Here is a 24013-nt window from a genome sequence, read left to right as displayed (position 1 = left end):
AACATTATGAACTTTTCAACTTCTAAGTATTGAGGAAGAAATACTAAGCTAATTTGACTAATTAATCTAGTTGATTATAGTATATTTATCCAAGCAGAGTTAATCTGGCAGACCAAAAAGTTTAAGGAGCCTCTGGTAAAACTATAAATGAAGCCGACTAGCAATTCAGTGACTAAACAAGTTATTCGATTGAAAATTAACACTTTAGGCCGGGCGCGGTGGCTCACCGCCTGTAATCCCAGCACTTTGGGAGGCCGAGGCGGGCGGATCACGAGGTCAGGAGATCGAGACCATCCTGGCTAAAACGGTGAAACCCCGTCTCTACTAAAAATACAAAAAATTAGCCGGGCGTAGTGGCAGGCGCCTGTAGTCCCAGCTACTTGGGAGGCTGAGGCAGGAGAATGGCGTGAACCCGGGAGGCGGAGCTTGCAGTGAGCCGAGATCCCGCCACTGCACTCCAGCCTGGGCGACAGAGCGAGACTCCGTCTCAAAAAAAAAAAAAAAAAAAAAAGAAAAAAAAAAAGAAAATTAACACTTTAATATGTACTTTTAATCATCTTAGATTAAAGAGTGTAGCCTGATAGCTTTAAGAGTTAATACTTTGTACTTGCCTTATATTTCTAATGCTCACAAAGCATCCTAGACTATAGCATAATTAAAAATTTTACTTCCAACTATTTTTACACTGCAAAAGTATGCCTAGATCAAAGCATTTTGTATTTATTTTCTTCAGGCTCTCTCACTGCATTATACCATCAACCTTATTAAGTTAGTGTACCCTATGAAGATGCATGAGAGAAATAAGCTCTCATTTGTTTAAATATCCCACCTACAATAATGTAGGTGATGACAGAATTAGTGAAAATGGGAACTCCTTTTGCTTTGTGACAGAAACCACATTTAATAGGCCTAATTTTAGATGTAGTCACTGATTCTGTCCCATGATAAAAGAATAAGATGTGGAATGTGCCAAACAGAACTTCTAAAGGTATATGTTAAATCAAAGAGTGTTCCTTTGAGTTTGCACAAAAAAAAAAAAGAGAGAAAAATCTCATTGATTTTACAGAAGAATTAAGGGAAAATATCACTCTATGGATTGCTTGATGTGAGGGAATTCTAGAGCATTTTGCTTTAGTCTGATGCTTAGTAGACAAGTCCCCTGAGTAGGAAGCATGGCTAATTCTGTACTTTAAAGTGCCTAATGTGGTGTTGACATACTCAAATGTTAAATAATATATTTTAACATGAAGGGAAAGCTCAGAGCTTTCATGAGGTAAAGCTGAAAAATAGTTATACATGCCCTTGACTCACAGAAAATAAAGAGGCAAAAGCTCACATTCATTTATTCATTTCAGGAAAAAGCCTAATAGTCTTGTGTTTAGCACATTTTGGATTTACATTTCCTAGATTTTCAGAGGTTCAAATCCTCCCTCAGAAGAAAATTTATCTAATAGCTCTCAATATCAGTCTTTTTTTTTTCCTGAAAAGCCCTATCCCCCTTTCTGGCACTCACACTTGAAATTATTGTACTAAAAATGTTAAGTTTTTGCTTCTTTTTAAAATCTACAATATACTTAAGTACATCAAATCGTGCACTTTAAATTGGTCCATTGTATGTTATGTGAATTACATCTTAAAGCTGTAAAAAAAAAAGAAAGCCCACTAAACTATACCAATAAACTGTATATACTTAGTGCCTTCTTTCATCTTTCTTTTTTGACTAGTTCTTTTGATAGGTAAAAATTCAAACCAAAATAATAATTTCAAATAAAATGTTTCCAGATATGCCAAAAGGAAGTACTTTGAAAATGATTTAAGTGAACAAGAGACTCCATTCACAGCTTAGTCACTCAAAATTATCATTTATTTTAATAGTAACAAATTTATAATTTCCACACTAGCTCTATTGGCTGATTTAATATTAGACAAAGTTTTTTTTTTTTCTGCAGATTCAACAAAGTGTGGATTCACTTACTCATTGAATCAATACATTTAAACTTTAAATCAAACTGTTTTCTTTGGGGAGTGTGTACAAAAATAACTGCTTCCAGGCCGGGCGCGGTGGCTCATGCCTGTAATCCCAGCACTTTGGGAGGCCGAGGTGGGCGGGTCACGAGGTCAGGAGATCAAGACCATCCTGGCTAACATGGTGAAACCCTGTCTCTACTAAAAATACAAAAAATTTAGCTGGGCGTGGTGGCGGGCGCCTGTAGTCCCAGCTACTTGGGAGGCTGAGGCAGGAGAATGGCATGAACCCGGGAGGCGGAGCTTGCAGTTAGCCGAGATTGTGCCACTGCACTCCAGCCTGGGCGACAGAGTGAGACTCTGTCTCAAAAAACAAACAAACAAACAAACAAACAAAACTGCTTCCAAATGAAGATACAATGCCCCCACTTCAAGTGACCTACAGCCTAATGGGGACTACCAACAAGTAAGCTGGCATGTTGCTACACTGTACTTACACTACAGAAACAACTGTCATGTAATGGTCAACAAACATCTGGCAACTGCCAAATAAGTGCTGGTAAACCAACAATTAAGCTATTCCATTATGTGAAATGTGGCACATAGTTCTGTAAACATGAGTTAGCCCGTAGTAATAGAAGTGCAGTATCACTGCTAGAGTTGTAATAGTAGCTATATTTATGTGATTGGACCAATGTTAACATTCATTTTCAAAGAGAAGATCTCAGGGAAGAGTTTTGATGGCTTGGGAGAAGTAAAGGAACCTTGGGCAGAGACCATATCTGGGCCTAAGGCAGTTGTAGTCCGAGCTGACCCTGTGTGACTAGAAGTCCACACGAGTATGCAAGGGAATTGAAGCTGAAAGAAGAAGTCCTGAAGGCAAATATTACTACCCTCCCAAGCCGAACCTACACCAAACCTAAACCTCTTGTATTTTCAAACGCGAATACTGTCATGAGCATATAAATGACAGAGTTAGGTCACTTGCATGATAAGGTGGCAGCTGGGCAGTGGCAGTGCAAGCAGAAATCCCACTGGGCTGAAAATTTACAGGAAAACCATGAGCTTTAGTTTGGTTCTTCCTCCAAATTGTCTAACTGGTCACTTAACCTCTCTAGTTCTGTCCTGACTTGTTAACTCTCAAAGAACATGACTCTTTGTGTTTAGCATGTTTTCTGATGGTTAATGAGTCAGCAAATGAAGGAAATGTCAAGCACTGAAGATAAGAAGAAATATTATTTTAATGGTGGTGTTTTGAAGTCTGACAGTTAAAGGATTAATTAAAGATGTGTTTATAGAAGCTGGCTGTCTTTGTAATCACTGGTGGATCTCAATATCTACAAAACAGGACCCCATCCTTTTTTCTTGCTAGCCTTTTTTCATTTCTTAATGCAAGATTTTCCTCTGTATGTTACTTTCGTGTCTTGTTCCATGCAGAAGGGATAAGATGATCTAGTAATAAGTAAGTTTTGGTTATATTATAAAAGATAATGAATTAACCCTCTTAAAATGCTTCAGAAATTCTTAGATGAATGCAAATTATTGTTTGGGGGAACTGCCAAATCTTGAACATCTCATTGAATTGAAGAGACAGAAAAGAGTTATCTTCCTATGAAAGAATGGTTGATGGTTATTGTTTTAAGATATTTCCATAGCTAATGGGTATTTATTGTAAATTTCTGCTTTAATAAATCTTTTCCTTCTTTCTACAAATCCACTATGTAATGACTTATGCAGTGTGCCTTAAGGTATTCTATCCTGGGCCAAGGCAAACTATTTTCCTCAGGACTGTTATCTATTATAACAAGTAAAGTCATAGCAATTGTCTAGAGAGGACCCTTGTAAGAAATAACAATATTTTTGCTGTCTGAAGGGTTTATCAAGCCAAGTGACAGGAATGTCAGCTAACATTCATTGTCTCTGAACTCGTATTTGGAATACAATTAAGAAATAGATAAACAAGGAAAACATACTGATTTGGGGTTCCCCAAAGGATAAAGTTTCCTCCCCTCAAAAAAGAATCTGATGTGACTCATTTGGATAATAATAAGTATTTGGCCTTTAAAAAAAGCTTTATTATATACAAGGTATATGACATGATGTTTTGATACACATATATATAGTGATTAGTGCAGTCAAGCAAATTGTTATATCCATCATCTCATATAGTTGCCTTTCTTTTCTTATTTTTGCTTTGTTTTTGTGGTAAGAGAACCTCAAATCTACTCCTGGCAAATTTCCAGTATACAATCCAACATGATTAACTATAGTCCTCATTAGATCTCTAGACTTTTTCATCCTGCATAACTGCAACTCTGTGGCATTTTTAAGAGTCTAAAATGTTGTTCCAGTGACATGAATGAGCATTTCTAAAGTAAAATATTATACCTATCAAAAATTGTAAAAGAGCTGAACCAAAATTTTGTATAGATCTGATGTTCAATGCAAACAGTATTCTCAACATTGAAACTGAGTGTTACGTCTTCTTTGATTTAATCCCAGTGGTCAGTTTGGTGACTGAATCAAGTGTTTAAAAAAAAAAAAAACTGGTCATAGCTGAGATTCATTTAGATCAGATGAAGATGATCCCTGTGAACAGAAAAGGAACTAAGGGACTTTCAGCCCCTCAGCTGACATGCCTTTTCTTTGCCATCAAAGTGTTATGATGTTATTAAGTGTCTTATGATAGAGTTGGTCTCATTTTCAGTGACCATTTATTTAGCCAGTTCATTTTATCATAATTTCACCCCAGCCCATGAAAGACACTGCTCTTCTTAAGAACTCCAACCTGATTCTGACTTCCCTTTGAAAAGTTTACAACCAGTGTCATTTCACCCCAAGAAGGGCTTGCTGCAGGTAAAATTTCTAAGTTTTAGAAGTTTACCTTTGAAATCTACAATTTTTTTTTTTTTTTTTTTTTTTGAGACAGGGTCTTGCTCCGTTGCCCACACTGGAGTGCAGAGGCACAATCTTGGCTCACTGCAACCTCTGCATACCAGGTTCAAATGATCCTCTTGCCTTAGCCTCCCAAGTAGCTGCGACTACAGGCATGTACCACCAAGCCTGGCTAATTTTTGTACTTTTTGTAGAGACAGGGTTTTGCCATGTTGCCCAGGCTCATCTCAAACTCCTGGATTTGAGTGATCCACCCGCCTTGGCCTCCCAAAGTTCTGGGATTATAGCTGTGAGCCGTGGCACCTGACCATCTCCCATTTCCTTGTGTGTACTCTCTACCACACACACCCCACCCCACACTGAGTGATCTGGCAGTACTGTAGTCCAGAAAGTTTTATTTTCTTATCTAAATCTTGGGGTACACACTTTACCATCATCAAGCATATCTCCAAGCATACCTTCCACACACCCCTTGGCCTGGCTTCCTGAAATGTTTATGCTCACAGATATTTTGTGAAAGCATCCTGTGTAATAGTTACAGTCCAGTCAGAAAACAGAAATCACACTAGTTATTTTCACAGAGAGCATTCAACATAGGCATTTGGTGAAAGGGACATTAGTAATCTTAAAAAGCAAAACAGAACACAATGGAAACAAGATAACGCTTTTGAAAGCCGTTACCTTCTCTAGGGCTGAGAGGACAAAAGGAAAAGGTGGGGGTCAGCAGATCCTAGAAGGCCAGAGGAGGAGCCTTGTGGAGTTGGGACTCGGTCCTCTGAGAAAGGAAGCCACCCAGCTAGTGCTGGGATTGATACCTCAGGAGCTGGGCCTCAGATCTCTGAGGAGAGAACTGCCAGACTACTTGTGATACCCGTGAGAGTAATGAAGTTGACTCTGGGAGCACTGAAGGAAGCTGGAAGCCGGAACCAACTGTGTAGCTGCCAGAGTAAAGTACCATTGCTGAGGCAATGTGGGTGGAACATTAAGAGCACAGGAAGGAGCAAGTTCTTTTTCCCTCCTCCTGCCTTCCAGTCTTCCTCTAGTGCTCCCTAATTGCAGTGTCTAACAGGAAGCCTGGGGCAAAGGCGAAATGCAGTTTGTAGTATCCCAGTTTCAGCATCTGAAAGCAGAGTACTAAAGAGAAAGTTCGGAGCTGAAAGACTTTGGCTAAATAAAGGCTAACCTGGATGCTACAGCTGAATACAGAAGGCAAGATTATGTTTAACTAGGGAGAGGTATGAAACCTAAGATTACAAAAGTGGTTAATTTTTGCTAATGAAAAGGAGGACTTGATCATCCCCCAAATAAAATTATGTGAAAACCTAGGTCAACAAGAACCATATCAAAATTGATCTGACTAGCAGTTTCCAGTATAATTTATCTCTCAATGCCCATGAAAACACAAGAAATAATAAAAAATTACAGTGGCGCTAGAAACTAATACCAATAGAATCTGGGAGAAATAGGTCCTATTTATAAGGCATGTAGAGCTTCCACTCATAGCATACCATACCTCTTTATTGAATAAAAGAATTAGTATGGTGAGAGGTAAGAATATGCTTCACAACTCTGTCACCATCTGCCTGCTGACCTAGTGAACCAGGAATTGTGCCAACCAGAAATCTGAGCAGAAACCCCTCTCTGGCTCTTGGGAACTGCTTTGAGAGATTATCATTTTCCCGACACTTCAACTGTGACCTTTCTATAACAAACAGATATTGAAATTCTCAGGAAGCAAATGAACAGAAAGTAGGGGGATGTTAACAGTGGTGCAGGGCATTCTAATAAATACAATCCTTATAAGAAAGCCAGTGTGGGAAGTGGGACATAGAAGGGAAAAAATATTGGCAGTGCGGACTGTGAATTTCAGTTTTCTAAGTGCTACATCTAATCAGAATAAAGCAAATAACACACCTGAGGATGCTCCAATTCAAGATCCAGAAAAGATCATCAGAATACTGTATTACAAGAAAACAAGGCCTCTATCAGAAGGCAAAAATATGAAATAGAAAGTAAAATGATGAGGTAAAGGACAGAAGAAGATAAAAAGCAAACAGAAGAAGATGAAAGAAGATTGTAAGGAAGCTAAAGGCACAAGAGCAAGATTAAAATACTCATTGAGAACAGTCAAGAACAGAACTGATCCTGTAGAAAATCAGAACGTGATGGAAGAAGACATTTGAATAAATCTCCCATGATGGTCCAGAGAAGGATAGAAAGATAGAAAGAAAAGGAGAAGGAAAGTGATGATATGAACAACAGAGAATGGAGGACCAACAGATAGGTATTCTTACTTAAGAAAGATCAAGTACAAATAAAATAAAAGTGATAGTCAAGAGTATAAGAGGGAAAAAAATCACAAATTCTCTCAACTGAAGAAAAATAATAGAAAAGTTCAATTAAACTAAGGGTAGGTTTTTTGAAAAGGAACAAAATTGACAAACCTTCAGCTAGACTAAGAAAAGACTCAAGTAAATAAAATTATAAGTGAAAGAGGAGACATTGCAACTGATACCACAGAAATACAAAAGATTATAAGAGACTGCTATGAGCAATTTTGTGCCAATAAATTAAATAACCTAAAAGAAAGAGATGAATTCCTAGAAACATATAACCTACCAAGAGTGAACCATGAAGAGGTAGAAAACCTGAACAGACAAATAACCGGTAAGGAGATTGAATCAGTCATTAAAAACTTCTGAACAAGAAAAGTCTAGGACCTAAGGGCTTCACTGGTGAATTCTAGTAAACACTTAAGGAAGAATTAACACCAGTCCTTCTCAAACTTTTGCAAAAAATGGAAGAGAAGGGAACACTTCCAAACTCATCTTATGAAGTCAACATTACCCTGATACCAAAGCCAGACAAGGAAATTGCAAGAAAAAAATTACAAGCTAATATGCCTGGTGAACACAGATGCAAAAATCCCTCAGTAAAATACAAATAGTCTAAATTGAACAGCACATTGAAAGGATCACATCCTGATCAAGTGGGATTTATCCTTGGCATGCAAGGATGGTTCAACACATGTAAATCAATAAATGTGACATACAACATTAACAGAATGAAGAATAAAAATCATATGATCATCTCAGTAGATAAAGAAGAAGTATTTGAAGGAACATATGTTGACATAATAAAGGCCATATATGACAAGCTTATAGCTAACATAATACTCAACAGTGAAAAGTTAAAAGCTTTTCCTCCAAGATTAGGGCAAGACAAGAAACTCACTCCCACCACTTCTATTCAACCTAGTACTGGAAATCTTAGCCAGAGCAATTAGGCAAGAAAAAGAAATAAAAGAGATTCAAATCAAAAAGAAAGAAGTAAAAATTTCTCTGTAGATGACATAATCTTATATGTACAAAACTTGTGATCTTATATATCGAAAACACCACCAAGAAACTTTTAGAACTAGTAAACAAATTCAGTAAAGTTGCAGAATGCAAAATCAACATACAAAAATCAGTTGTGTTTCTATATATTAACAAGGAACAGAGAAAGAAATTAAGAAAACAATCCCATAGCATCTAAAACAATTAAATACTTAGGAAAAAAATAAACCAAGTAGGCAAAGGATCTGTACACTAAAAAACTGTAGAACATGGATGAAAGAAGTTGACAAAATCACAAATAAATGGGAAGATATACTGTGTTCATGGATTGGAAGTATTAATATTGTTAAAATGTCCATACTACCTAAAGCAATCCATGGATTCATTGCAATCCTTATCAAAATTCCAATGTTATTTTTCTTAGAAATAGAAAAAACAATCCTAAAATTATATGGTACCACAAAAGATTCCAAATAGCCAAAGCAATATGGAGCAAGAAGAACAAAGCTGGAGCCACCATATTGACTGTTTTAAAAATATACTACAAAGCTATAGTAATCAAAACAGTATAATACTGGCACAAAAACAGACATATAGACTAATGAAATAGAATAGAGAACCTAGAAATAAATCTATGCACTTACAGTCAATTAATCCTCAACAAGGGTGCAAGAACACACAATGAGGAAAATATAGTGTCTTCAATAAATGGTGTTGCAAAAACTGAACTCCAGATGCACAAAAGTGAAATTGAACTATGTCTCATAACATATACAAAAAGCAGCTAAAAATGAATTAAATACTTAAACATTAGAGCTGAAACTGTAAAACTACTAGAAGAAAAGATAGGGAAAGATCTTTTTGACATTGGTCTGGACAATGATTTTTTTGGATATGACTCCAAAACATAAGGACCAAAAGCAAAAATAGACAGATGGAATTGCATCAAACTAAACAGGTTCTGTATAGCAAAGGAAACAATCAACAGAGTGAATATACAGCCTATAGGAATTGGAGAAAATATCTGCAAACCACACAGCTGATGAGATAATATCCGAAGTGTTTAAGGAACTCAAACAACTCAATAGCAAGAAAACACATAACCCAATAGAAAAATGGGCAAAAACTGGAATAGACATTTTTCCAAAGAAGACATACAAATGGCCAATTGGTATATGAAAAAATTCTCAGTGTCACTAATCATCAGGCAAATGTAAATCAAAACCACAATGAGATACTACCTCACACCTGTTAGGACAGCTATTATCAAAAGAGAAGAGTTAAGGGATGACAAAGATGTGGAGAAAAGGGAGCCCTGACACAATGTTGGTGGGAATGTAAATTGGTATAGCCATTATGGAAAATAGTATGAAGGTTCCTCAGAAAAATTAAAAATAGAACTATCATGTGATACAGCAATCTCATTTCTGGGAATATATCCAAAGGAAATGAAATCAGTATGTCAAAGAAATATCTGCATTCCCATGTTCATTGCAGCATTATTCACAATGGCCAAGATGTGGAATCAAACTAAGTATCTATTGACAGATGAATAAAGAAAATGATTGTACATACAAACTTACAATGTGTGTATTAATCAGCACTAAAAAAGAAGAAAATCCTGTCATTTGTGACAACATGGATGAAGCTGGAAGACATTATGCTAGGTGAAATAAGCCAAGTACAGAAAAACAAATATTGCATGGTCTCATATGTGGATACTAAAAGAGTTAAACTCCTAGAAGCAGAGGGTAGATTAGTGATTGCCATGGGCTGGGAGAAATGGGTACAATGTTTCAGTTATGCTGAATGAGTAAGTTTGGAGATCTAATGTACAGCATGGTAACTGTAGTTAGTAATCCTGTATTGTACACTTGAAATTCACTAAGAGAGTATGTATCAGTCAGGATTCTCCAGAGAAACAGAACCAATAGGATATAGAGAGATATATATATAGGAGGAAATTTATTGTGTGAATTGGCTTGTGCAGTTATGGAGGCTGAGAAGCCCCATGATATACCATCTGCAAGTTGGAGAAACAGGAAAGTGATGGCATAATTCAGTTCAATTCCAAAGGCCGGAGAACCAGGGGAGCCCATGGTGTAACTCCCAGTTCAACATGTAAGGCCTGAGAACTGGAACTTGGGGGTTTTGGGGGATTGGTGTAAGTCTTGGAGTTTGAAGGCCCAAGAATCAGCAGTTCTGATATACAAGGTCAGGAGAAAATGATGTCCCAGCTCAAGAATGGAGAATTTGCCCATTCTCTGCCTTTTCATTCTGTCAGGGCCCTCAACAGATGGGATGATGACAGCTCACATTGATGAGGGTGGAATTCCTTTACTCAGTTGACTGATTCAAATGCTAATGTCTACCCTTACAACCATACCCAGAAATAATGTATTACCAGCTATCTGGGCATTCCTTAACCCAGTCAATTTGACACCTAGAATTAACCATCACAGAGTAGATCTTAAATGTTCTCACCATGCATGCACACATGCAAGCACGCACACACACACGCCCACTCACATATCAAAGCCTCACACTGTATACCTTAAATAATACCTAGTATCATATCGGATAAGGAACCCCTAGTCTCCCTATAAATAAGGAGCTACAGTTTCTCAGCTTTTCTCAAAATTATCTGGAAATTCTAGTCAATGCAGGAAAGGAAAAAAATAAAAAATAAAATTGGAAGTGTAAGTACCAGAAAGGAGAAAAAATTAAAATAACTAGTAAATGGTATAATTGCCTACCTGAACAAAGAACAAAATGAAATAAAAAGAATCAAACAAAAACTACTCAAAACAATGAGTTTATTAGGTTACAAAATCAATATGCAAGTATCAATAGCTTTTTTAATCAGCAATAAAAGAATGTAATAAAAAGATAAAATCACAATAAAGTGTATAATATCAAATAATTTTAAAAGGGAATGCTCATTTTCTATTTGGAGTAAATTACAAATGAAATTGTGGAACATAAAAGAAAACTTGAAAAAAATGAAGGGCTATATTGTAAAGATTACAATTTTTCTCAATCTACACATCAGAATCTTAAAAGAAGATTTTGAGGAGAAGCCTGACAAAAAGTACTCTAAGTTTTACTTTGAAGAATAAATGTGCTAATGTAGCCTAAGATTTTTAAAAGAGCAGTTAAGATATTTGTCCTACTTTAATTAATACATATTATAAAGCTATGGTAATTAAGATAGCTTTAAACAGGCACTGAAATGAAGGTGCCTGTCAGTGGAACAGAAGAGACAGTATAGGCACATACCAAAATTTACATAAAATTAATTTGAAAATAAAGATGACATTTCAAATGGGAGAAAACAAAATGGATTATGTCATTTGATTCCTAATGAATTAAAAATTTTAGTGTAAGAAATAAAAGAACAAAATTAGTAGGATATAATATATTAGTTATGGAATTTTAAGTTTAAGAAATTGTTATGGGTTGGCTGTGTCCCCACCCAAATCTCATCTTGAATTCCCACATGTTGTGGGAGGGACCCAGTGGGAAGTAATTGAATCATGGGGGCAGGTGTTTCCCATGATAGTAAGTCTCACAAGATCTGATGGTTATTATAAGGGGGAGTTTTCCTGCACAAGCTCTCTTTGCTTGCTGCCATCCATGTAAGAGGTGACTTGCTCCTCCTTGCCTTCCACCATGATTGTGAGGCCTCCCCAGCCATGTGGAACTATAATTCCAATTAAACCTCTTTCTTTTGTAAACTGCCCAGTCTTGGGTATGTCTTTATTAGCAGCGTGAAAACGAACTAATATAGCAGTCTTTCAGAGCATGATGTCAGGGATGAAAAACACAGATATATATAACTATTAAAAAGTTAAATTTTCTGTATGGCAAGAAGTATCATAAACAAAGTTAAAATAAAAATGACAAACTGAGGGGAATTATTCACAATAAACATGTGACTAAGTAGGGGTTAATATTTTTGATATGTAAAGAACTCTTACAAATAAGTTAGAAAAAAGTACCCCAAAAATGAATTGGGAGTTTAATACAATAGAGGCACATCTTTTTGTAAAACTTAGTAAGGCATATCTTTTTCATAAATATTCTGAATTAGAGTATAAAATGACAAATGGAGAATTTTCAAAGTTAAGGAAAAATCTCCTAAATTTCTAATAATATCTATATTGTATGGGGTTTTTATATAATCCTTTAGAGTAATATATATATGTGTTATTATATATATTTATTATATAAACTGACAAATGGAGAATTTTCAAAGTTAAGGAAAAATCTCCTAAATTTCTAATAATATCTATATTGTATGGGGTTTTTATATAATCCTTTAGAGTAATATATATATGTTATATATATATTTATATAATAAATGTAAAATGTAATTCATATATATTATATATATTTTTATATATTATATATAATAATGGAAATGTATGCAAAGTGTAATTTTAATTACATACAGGTTATTATGTTGCTGAGTGTATGCAATCAAATTAAACATGCGTCTGACATGACTCCACTAGGTAATTCATTAGTGAAAAATGCAAGTGATCAGTAACCATGAAAAAAAAGTTTATCCCAACTTGTACTTAAGGAAATAAAAACTAAAATACGATGTCATTTTCACCTATCATATTGGCAAACGCCAAAGCACCAATGTTGGCAAAGATGTGGAGAGGGACACTTTCATATTATGCTGAAGAGTGTTTACATGGAGTATCTCTCATCTGAAATGCTTGGGACCAGAAGTGCCTAGCATTTCAAAATTTTTCAGATTTTGAATATATGCATATATGTAATATATGTATTCTTGGGGATGGTACCCAAATCTAAAAATGAAATTTATTTGTGTTTCATAGACACTTTATTCAAATATCCTGAAGGTAATTTTATACAATGTTTTAAATAATTTTATGTACAAAACAAAATTTTCACTGTGTTTTGACTGAGACCTGTCACATAAGGTCAGCTGTGGAATTTTTCATTTGTAGCATCATGTCAGTGCTCAAAAAGTTTCAAATTGTGGAGCAGTTCAAGTTTCAGATTTTCAGAGGGATTCTCAGTTTGTACAGCCTTTCCAAAGAATTAAACATCTTTAAAAAAATGCATACTTTTGGCCCTTTATTTTTACCTCCAGTAATTTTCTTAAAAGTTAATGATCTAATAAACAAAAATGTAAGTAGATATTGATTATGATGTTTATTTTAGCCATAACATTGAAAGCAGTCAGTCTAGTAACTGGAAACAAATTTGACAAATCATGGTGCATCCATATTGTGGAATATTATGCAGCCATCAAAATGTAATAGAGATGTATTTTTATTGATATGGAAAAATGTTTATTAACTTTTTAAGAAGCAAGTTAGAAAAGAGTATATGCAGTATGAGCCGATTTTTTTGTAAAAGATACAAATTCAAATAAGTATGGAAAGAAAAAGTTTTGGGAGGTAAAGACACAAAATACTAGCCCTTTCTGGATGGTAGATTATTTGAGACTTAATTTGTTTTCTTTTTGCTCTTCCTTCTTTTCCAACTTTTCTACAGTAAACCTTCATTATTTGGGTAATTAGTACATTTTCTTAGCATTTTAAAATAAAACAATCCATGTAAGAAGCAAGGATACAATAAAAAGCACACTTCAGTGCCTGTAGCACAATACCAGTGTGGTACAGCGATAAGAGCACAGATCCTGGAGCCAGGCTGGCCTGCATTCAATTCATCTGGATTCTGCTACTACTGACAGTGTTACCTCAGGCAGGTCATTTAACATCTCAGATTCTGCATCTGTAAATTGCTCTAGGGATTAGCAAAAATGTAAATCACCTAACACACAGTCTCTGGCACATACTGTGCACTTAACAAAAGGTTAATCCTTATTGTTATTGTTGTTGTTGTAAATGCCAAGGAAATTAATTGGCCTGAAGACCAGAAACAAATTTGTATTGTTGAGAAGAAACATGGATTAATTGTTAAGAAATTTTTGTTTATAATGTATCATCTTACCAAATGCAGAGGAGGTACATTTAATCCATGGTTTCACCAGAAAATAACTGCTTATCAAAACTTGTCACAGGTTAAAGTTATGTCCTTGTAGAACATGTGCCTTTCTAGAGGGCTAGCAAGGAAAGTTTTCAATTGGGTAATTTTAGATCCTAAGCAGGGTATTTTGTGTATAGTAGTTGCTCAGCAAGCAGTAAATGGAGTGGAATTCAGGTTGTTTGCCTGGGCTCTCCTCTGGTTACACTTTTGATGCTGAATGCCCTTCACTGTGTGGTGGCCTGTGATCACTACAGCCCTTATTGAGAGAAAACACTCAAGAAGATAAAGATCAACCAGCCTTTTCTAAGTTTTATCTTTAGGAATTAGAGATAGGGAGTTCTGTAAATAAAAGGCTCCTGCTTTCTGTGTCAGCTGTTGTAGTTTAACTAACACATTGGACCTTTTGTGGCTAAGTTAATATTTATTGATATTTATTAATATTATTAGTTGACTGTGTGTTGGGCACTATGCTATTAAATACTTTACTACAGGAATTATCTTCTTTAATATGACAACTCTGTGCTGTAGGCATTATTATTCCTTCTAGTAGGTGATGATCCCTGGACTCACCCAAGATCACATGAATAGTAAATTCAACTGGGAGCTTGAACTTGATTCTCTTTGATGTCAAAAACTATGCTATTCAACACTTTGCTACTTTACTTCCCCATTCCTTCCAATCAACAAGATTTTTTTTAAGTTTGTGTTTCAGTGTGTCTCATTTCTTGCTATGTATTTCATGGATTTGATTTAAATCCTTTTCTTTAATATTGATGCTATGAGAAGCCTGGTTTTAAATAAGTATATAAAACATTCTTGAAAAGTGTGTTTTTCCTCAACTGAATTTTGGTTCTAAAATTTTATTATTGAATTGTTATATATATATACACTTACCACACCTCCCCTGAATTTTTTGTTTTGTTTTGTTTTGTTTTTTGAGATGGAGTTTTGCTCTTGTTGTCCAGGCTGGAGTGCAATCCCACAATCGTGGCTCACTGCAACCTCCACCTCCCAGGTTCAAACGATTCTCCTGCCTCAGCCTCCTGAGTAGCTGGGATTAGAGGCATGCGCCACCATGCCCAGCTAATTTTTTTGTATTTTTAGTAGAGATGGGGTTTCTCCATGTTGGTCAGGCTGGTCTCGAACTCCCGACTTCAGGTGATCCGCCTGCCTTGGCATCCCAAAGTGCTGGGATTACAGGCGTGAGCCCCTGCGCCTGGCCCCTATTTGAGTTTTTAAGTTTTCGAAGGCAGGGATTGTGTTTTACTCCTCTTTACAGTCCTTGCCCATAGTAGGTGGATAGTAAATATTGAATTGCATGTCTCCATTGATCATATTAGAAAACAAACAAAAATGATCATTTTCTATTAATCTGTTAATTTTTTTCTGCAAATGTATAAGCAATTCAGTATCAACCCTTAGATCTGCTGCTATTTGTCTAGGTTCCTAGGCACAGAGATATAGCACCTGTGCCTTCAGTCTCTGTCAGTTGTGGTGTGTCATAGTATTTAAGAACTGATGTTTCCAATGATATATATGTATAAGTATACATATAATAATATAATTATATACATATAATAATATAATATAATATACATATGGATATAGTTCTGCCCAGAAGAAGCCACTCTTACCCACTTACATTTCCATTTGCTTTCTTTTTAAAAAAATCTCTTTATAGGCCAGGCGCGGTGGCTCACGCCTGTAATCCCAGCACTTTGGGAGGCCAAGGCGGGTGAATCACAAGGTCAGGAGTTCGAGACCAGCCTGGCCAACATGGTGAAACCCCGTCTCTACTAAAAATACAAAAAATTAGCTGGGCATGGTGGTGGCCGCCTGTAATCCCAGCTATGTGGGAGGATGAGGCAGGAGAGTTGCTTGAACCCGAGAGGCGGAGGTTGCAGGGAGCCGAGATCGCGCCACTGCACTCCAGCCTGGGTGACAGAGCGAGACTCTGTCTCAAAAAAAAATAAAATAAAACTCTTTATAATTACTTGTCTTTTCCTTTTAATTTCCCTTACTTATAAAGTGTTGGTAGAAACTTTAAAAAATTGTTTATTTTGTAATTGACAAATAAAAATTGTATATATTTACAGTGTACATCATGTTTTGAAATACATATACATTGTGGAATGGCTAAACCCACCAATTAATATATGCATTCCCTCACATACTTTATTTTTATTGTGGTGATAATTCTTAAAATTTGCTCTCAGCAATTTTCAAGTATACGATACATTGTTTTTGACTGTAGTCACCATGCTGTACGATAGATCTCTTGAAATTATTCCTCCTGCCTACACATTTGCTTTCTTAATGTCATCTCACCTTGGACTCACCCTGGGAGTGGCTGTGCACATGAACATCGTCTATTGTGTGCCAGCCAAAACAACAAACAGTTGGAAGTAAAAACAAAAACCAAAACCTCGTTAGATTCCCAGCTCCACCACTCACTAGCTTTGTGACCTAAGCACATCACTTACCTTCTCAGACTGTTGTCAAGAAGGGAAAAATTGATGCAGGTGTATGTGAGGAGCGCTTAGCACATGGTAGACGTTCAGTAAATTCATGGAACTCTGAAAAAAAAAAAAAAACCCTTATTTTTTATAAACCCACCGCCTGGCCTTAAGAAGTTTCATGATTCTACTATGAATAAATTTAAAGAAAACTGAAACACAGATATGGGATTTAAAAAACAAAAAGGGGAAAAGGCAGTCACAGGCCTTTTGGGAAGTATCTGTACCTGAGTGATGTTAGAAAAAACTTCAGTATTCTGGAATTCAAAAAGCATTCTTCAAGCAGTTCAAGCTGCACTGATTTGAGGAGCATTTTTGCTTGCATAAATAAAACACTAAAAATGTTATTGAGCTATTCCACGGAGGAGATACATACCTGGTAACATAAGACTATGTTTTCATGCAGTTTTTATTCAAGGCAAAACATAAACCAATGAAAGGAAAACAGAAAGTGATAAGTAACGTGGCTATATTTTCCATGAACATATGGTAGGTGTTTAAAATGAGGTATGTCAGCTATTAATTCCCCAGGTGCTTGCCTTAGCCTTGATAATAAGGTTTTCTATGGAGGGATTTCCCATCTCTTGATATTTTGATCTTTGGGAAAATATGAGACCGACTCTTCTCTCTTGGGCACGTGTTAGCAGGAATATTTAAAAAGCATTTTGCACTGATTGAAATGCAAAGGGTTTCAAGAACAATTCTGATGAGTGTGTCTATCCTAAACTCAGTTATTTTCTCACCCCAAAACGCCAGAGAAACCAGAGACTAGGGAAAGACTGTTTTGTTCTCAACTGAACATGGCACGCAGATTTAACAGTAGGACCTGGTTCCTCATGCTGGCTGGTTCCTCATGCCATATCCATCTGATACTGGATTTAGCTTACAGAGGACGTTAACCCATGTAAGTCAAAGCCACAGACTTAAACATCCAGAAAGTATAAGGTGGGCTGAGGGGCAGCCCTGTAAGGTAAGATCTTATTTCAACGTGATTAAATGCCTTCTATTAGGAAAATTGCTTTTTTGCTTCTGTTTTTCATATGTAAATGTTAACGTGGTATGTCATAGCTCTCAAATAATTTGGGAGAATATGGAAAATCATTGAAATGTTGATAAACCAAATTATTTAATTTTTGGAATATGAACAATTTGATTTTTGGAGTGTGAACAAAAATATTACTAATGAAATCAGTGGACTTAATGGTCTTACTGGGGTCAACTTCTGTGGCTCGATGGAAAGAAAAAATAAACGAACTATGTAGGAGCTTGAAATATGAACACTCAGAATTCTGAAATTCATTTTTTGAATTTCACTATGATGTTTGGTGTTTTAAAACACAAAATTATAGATTCAATATCAGCCCTGATATAGAATGTTCTGAAATAATGAAGAGCTGGCATTTCACAATACAGGATAACCAGACAAGAATTTATCTGTACCTGAAAGTTTGGTGACACTCTTCGAATTTCTAGGAAATGGAAATGTGACTGATTTTTATTGAGAGTTTTCAAGGTCAAAGATAGGAACTGCTCTCAAGGCATGATAGCTAGAAAAATCGAGGGGGAAATTGATGTGAAATATTGCTGAATTAAGTGTTTAGAAATACGTAAGTACAAGTTCTGGCAGGTATCCATAGACAACAAGGCATATATCATCTTTAAATATCATAAGGTTAATTTTGGAAATCAGTGGATTTGTATATCTCACGAACATTTCAAGTGGAATACTGGCTTTTTTTTTTAAATAAGAAGAAAACAATGTCATTAGTTTTTAGGGTTTTTTTAATTAAAAGTTCAGTTACAGTTTTTTAGTGTTAATATTTTAACTTCTTATTTGAACGTCATTACTCCAGTCATCCTCTTTATTTTTTCAACTCTTATTATGTGCAAAGCACCAAACCTGATTCTTCTAATTACAACTTGTATTTTACCATGGCAATTCGGATAATTTAAAATAGATGAACGCTTTGGGTTTATTCACTCATGTTTTCTTTTTTAAACCAATGTTTTATAACACCTACTAAGTTCCAGGCTCTTTATTCTATAGTTTTATGCCTACTCTCCTTTTCTCCATTAGAAGAATGCAGATCTAAGCTTTAAAGAGGCAGCAGCATCCAAATAAGAGTCAGTGCGCTTAACCAAAGAACAGCTTTTAACTGTTTCCTAGTGAAACATTTTGAAATAAAGGTCTTTCTACCGGGGCAATAGGTGTTGTGCCAGTGTCACACCAGAGAGTAGAAGCCTTTGAAGAGCCCTTTTGTGACTTGGCCACTCTGCAAAACTCTGTGTCTGAATCCTCAAGCTAAGTGGAATCTTGATTATGTTTTCTATTTGTAAATGCTCTACAGCTTATCCAGCATGATTCTATCATTTTCTTACTTAATCCTCCCAAATACCTGTAAAGCAGGTATTATTGTCCTATTTTATAGATGAGCAAACTGAGGCTTAGAGAGATTAAGTGACTTTAGTTTCCGATGGCCAAGTGGAAACTAAAGCTTAGTCTTTCTTCCACAGCTGTGTTGGTGTATATCGACAAGTAAAAGATGTCTATGCAAACACAGACTAATTCTAGTACATACTTAAGAGATTTAAAAGATAGTTGTTCAGTCAGCCCATACAAAGAAATTGTTTCTTAGTCCTAAGCAATAGAGGCAGTTTCAACAGATGTGTAGACTTTTGATATGAGAAATTGGTTTCAAAATCAGGAGTCGGGGCTTTACTGCTTTTCATGCACAGAAAAAAAAAAGTGTATCTCTATGAATTGTCACAACTGATTCCTCTAAATTCTGCTTTAGAAAAAAAGAATTTGTTATACACTTGAATCTTAAACTGTAGTAAAATTAAGGTCTTTTGGAAACCAGGAGAGGTGTTGGTCCCTGGGGTTCCTTTGAATCATATCAGAGTACACTATTGAAAGAAGGAGAAAACAGGACAAAAAATATTTTAAAAGGCATAAGACACATAAATGAATTTTTAAAAATAGTTTCTATTGGCCAGGTGCGGTGGCTCACACCTGTAATCCCAGCACTTTGGGAGGCCAAGGTGGGCGGATCACTTGAGGTCAGGAGTTCGAGACCAGATCATTGGGTACCTTGAAGGCCATGATAAACATTTTCGTCTTCAGCCTGAAAATAATGGAAAGCCACTGAAGCATGCCAAGCAGTAGAGTGACAAAATCACACGGGTCCTTTGCAGGGATCACTCTGGCTCCATTCTGGAGAACAGAAGGAGGACTAATGTTAATGCTCACCAGCTAGTCAGGATGTTTGTTTTTTTAAACTCAGTCCTTTTAGTTACACTTTATCTCTTAAGGTTCATTCTCTTCCTACTACATCTTATCATAACTTACTTTTGTGCTACTCAGGCAGAAGTTTTTCTTTTTTAAAACTTTTTATTGACAGCATAACGGAACATCATGAAAAAATTTTGCCACCTGAAAAATACCATATTCTCATTTCTTCAATAAAGTTAGTTTTACATTTATAGTTTCTGTTACTATATTGTTCTCCTATTGATATTGCAATGTCTTTATCATATTCCATTGAGATGTATTAAAATTTAGTTACGTGTTGCTCCACACTTGGACATTTAGGTAAGAAGTTTTAACCGAGGATGACAGGGATCAGTGAAATGCTGTCCAAATATATTCTTTTCCATTTTGCAGCAATAGAAACTAAGTTGGGAGAGCATATTCTGCCACTTTCAACCCCAATTATGTGAAAATCTCCCTTTATGAAGAATGTAAAGTCTCTGAGTATTTGTATTAAGAGTAATGCATGTTGCTTAGGCTGTTAAGGAAATATTGATTTCTGACCCTTAACTGAAATACTTAGCTTTCATTTTTCTTCTTTTTACATGAATTGTGTATATTGTGTTCCCCTCAGGGAAAACTTAAAAGCATTTTGTGTTATGAAGGCTCCATTCTAGGATCTTATTGCTTTTGAGATGAATAAATGGAATGCTTGCTATCACTGGAACAGCCCTTTTTTTTTTTTTTTTTTTTTTTTTTTAATGTAACAAGGCATACAAGTAATACAGGGCTGAATTTGGCCCCAGAACTTCTGAAGTTCCAAGCCAGTTTCTTACGGCCAAATTTAGCTTCCAGCTTTCAGTTGATGAGGAGCTTTGGCATATAGGCAATCTAATTTTTGTTCAGTAAAAACCTCCTTGGGTGTTTTAAATATAACTTTAAAATTTGTATTACCAGGTGATGCTTAAGCATTTCTTAGACATTGACTCTAAATAATTGCTCAGAAAACAATGTGCCTTAAAGGTGTTTTATACCAGCCTTCGAGGTATTAGAATGAGATGAGTTGGCGCCAAAACATTTCAATATGCTATAAGGAGATGAAATATGGCCAAACAGGTTTTTATGTTCTGATTATTCCTTTTTCCTGTTACTAGCCAGAGGCAGGTAAATCGACTTTACATCCCCCACCCCCCCAAGCCCACCACCACAGCAATTTTATTTTTATCAACCCCTTAGGAAATTTCAGAGGGTTTTTTTTTTCCTATTCTTTGAACACATACAATGGGAAAATTAAAACTTCTAAAAGTTTCTTATCTATTAATCTGTTGATGAGATGTTGCTTTAAACACATTTTATATTACTAATTAATTTAATTATACATACTGCAGTTGTATTAACACATTTTCTGTTCTCTGCTCTAACGTGACACAGTGCCCTCCCGCAGCCACCTTAACCTAAAGCTTTAATTGCTTTCTCCTTAGCCTCAGCTCATGTTTGATTTATCTGATTTCTTTGTATAAAGATTCTCTAGTTTACGATGTGTACACAGTCATTAAATTGGTGTTGATGTTTATGCAGTGAACTTGCCAACTGGTTACAGCGGACATCCCTTTATGAATTTATGATGGGGCAATAAAGACAAGTGTCAGAAACCTCTTGTCTGGGAGGGGAATCACTTTCCTTGTGCTATGTTGGAGACAGTAATGTGGACACTTCCACTGATTTGTACAGCAAAGGATAATGTTGAAATCCAGATTTTCTTTCAAATCGTGGGCACTCTCTGATTTCTTGTAGGGAGATTTTTCAAATATTGGCGCTCTTTAATTTCCTGCAGAGTGTGTGTGCGTGTGCATGAGACACACACACACAAATGTTTGCACTTTTTTTTTTTTTTGAGACGGAGTCTTGCTCTGTCGCCCAGGCTGGAGTGCAGTGGCGCGATCTCGGCTCACTGCAAGCTCCGCCTCCCGGGTTCACGCCATTCTCCTGCCTCAGCCTCCCGAGTAGCTGGGACTACAGGCGCCCGCCACCACGCCTGGCTAATTTTTTTGTATTTTTAGTAGAGACGGGGTTTCACCATGTTAGCCAGGATGGTCCGGATCTCCTGACCTCATGATCCTCCCGCCTTGGCCTCCCAAAGTGCTGGGATTACAAGCGTGAGCCACCGCGCCTGACCAAATGTTTGCATTTTTAAACAAAACTATATTATATTTGAGCATTTTAACCAGGCATTCAATCTTTGTAAACGTGACTGTCTATATAGCTAGGTTATTTACAGAGTCAGTGTCAATAATCCAGAATTCTCCAGCTATAAAAAGTAAATGAAGTATTAAATATTTGAAGACAAGGGCCCTGTATAGTTTTCTTATATCTGTACTTTTTTTGCGAAAAGAAAAAAAAAGCCAAAAAGACATTGTTCTCAAGTCTTAAGTTACGAGGAGCTGCAATTTACATTGTTTTTCATTATGGGAAGATCTTCAAAGATTGTAATTGTGAGTTTAATTTACTAACAAGGAGCAGACATGAGTCTTCTTGACTGAGAATGCAAACATACTAATTTAAAAGTAGATTTATATGTATTGTATTAGTGCTTCCTCCTGTGTACATATACTGGTTTGATCTTTGCCCTTTTACTTTTCATTAGTATTTGAAATTAGAAGTCAGAAAAGTTGATTCTTAATTTTCATATACACTACAGAGGATTTATCTGTAAATATTATTTATTTCAAATTTTCCTATGTATGTATAAGTTTGTTCTCATATAAACAATACCTTTAAATAACTAAAGAATTAAGATAGAATGTAAGAGCTCAGAAACATAGGAAGAGTGAGCCAAATAAGGAAAAAACACTTTCGTGTTTGAAGAAAAGGATGGACGAATAGGGAGGTGGAGAGAAGGAAGGAAGGAAGGTGTTCCAGATGGTTTTGAAATTTGTGCAGTAGAGGAGAAGATTCTCAAATGTCATGTGGTTTTCTGAAGAGACAAAAACAGGACTTTAATGTTGATGACAGAGTAGATAAACTGGAAGTGAGATAGTGAAATTCATTTTTATCTACATTTCCTCTCAATTCTCACCCTTTATGGGAGCTCTTTTTCTTCATCCTGAGAAAATTCAGATAATTAAATGCAGTTAAGAGTGCAAACTAAGAGAAGAAATACAACAATGTCCCATTAGGAAGGTTGTGGCTGATGAAGGCTTAAAATACTTGCTACCACTTAACAAGTAAAAATGACTGCAATGTCATAGAATATTCTTCAAATGTCTTTAACAAAAAATCCAAATAAACTAGAACTAAATGATGGCCGGTTTACGTTTCAAGATGAGAAAGCGAAGTGAGGAGGACTGGTTTTGATCTGCAGCAATCATCTCTTCAATAGATACTTTTTTACTGAGATCCTCAACTATACAGTTCTGAGCTAGGCACATGCAAATTAAAGAGTTGCGTGAAATATGGTTCATTTTATTGAGAACCTTACTCTTTACCCCCCAGTTTCTATAATGCAAGTACTATAATGTATATCTCTCCTAAATGAATAATATAAATGAAGTGTGACCCAGATATCAGCTGATTCCTTTGACTGCACAAGTGAATTGCTTTTAAACCAACATAGCCTTGATGCAAAATTCAGCCACTTCATCAGCTTCCTTAAGAAATCCAGTCATATCAAGGATTTTGTGAATTCTCTAGTTTTGCTGAAGACTTTTAGTGTCAAGGGGAAGTGTCACATCACATAGCACACGTATCACTTGAAAAACTCCCTTTATGCAATCTCTTCCCAGGCCTCGCCTCTTAACTTTAATCGCCTCTCCACCTCTTCTCCTAGGCAGCTCTCAACACAGCTTCTCAGCAATTCAGGCTGAGTAGCTTCCTGCTTTGACAAGAAACTTGCCTGCCATTAGAAACACAGGCCTGGGGGATTTATTTCAACCCCTATTTTTCAACCCACAGGCTTATCAAAGATCCTTTTCAATAGAGCTGATTCTTCCTACAAAGAAATTTCTAACCAGCATCTA

At 36.1% G+C, this 24013-nt stretch overlaps 1 protein-coding gene and 1 non-coding gene across 10 annotated transcripts in view; both read left to right on the top strand.

Annotated features, from left to right (window-relative positions):
* MEIS2 (Meis homeobox 2) overlaps window positions 1-24013 on the top strand; it is a 212108-nt gene that overhangs the window by 109017 nt on the left and 79078 nt on the right. The window lies entirely within an intron of this gene.
* On the top strand, window positions 19394-19474 carry MIR8063 (microRNA 8063). The gene has a single exon (NR_107030.1). It is a non-coding gene; the product is annotated as a microRNA 8063 (primary transcript).

The sequence above is a fragment of the Homo sapiens genome, chromosome 15 (genome assembly GCF_000001405.40).
Source record: "Homo sapiens chromosome 15, GRCh38.p14 Primary Assembly".
NCBI lineage: Eukaryota > Metazoa > Chordata > Mammalia > Primates > Hominidae > Homo > Homo sapiens.
Note: the sequence above shows the minus strand (reverse complement) of the source record. Positions and strands in the feature narration are given on the sequence as shown.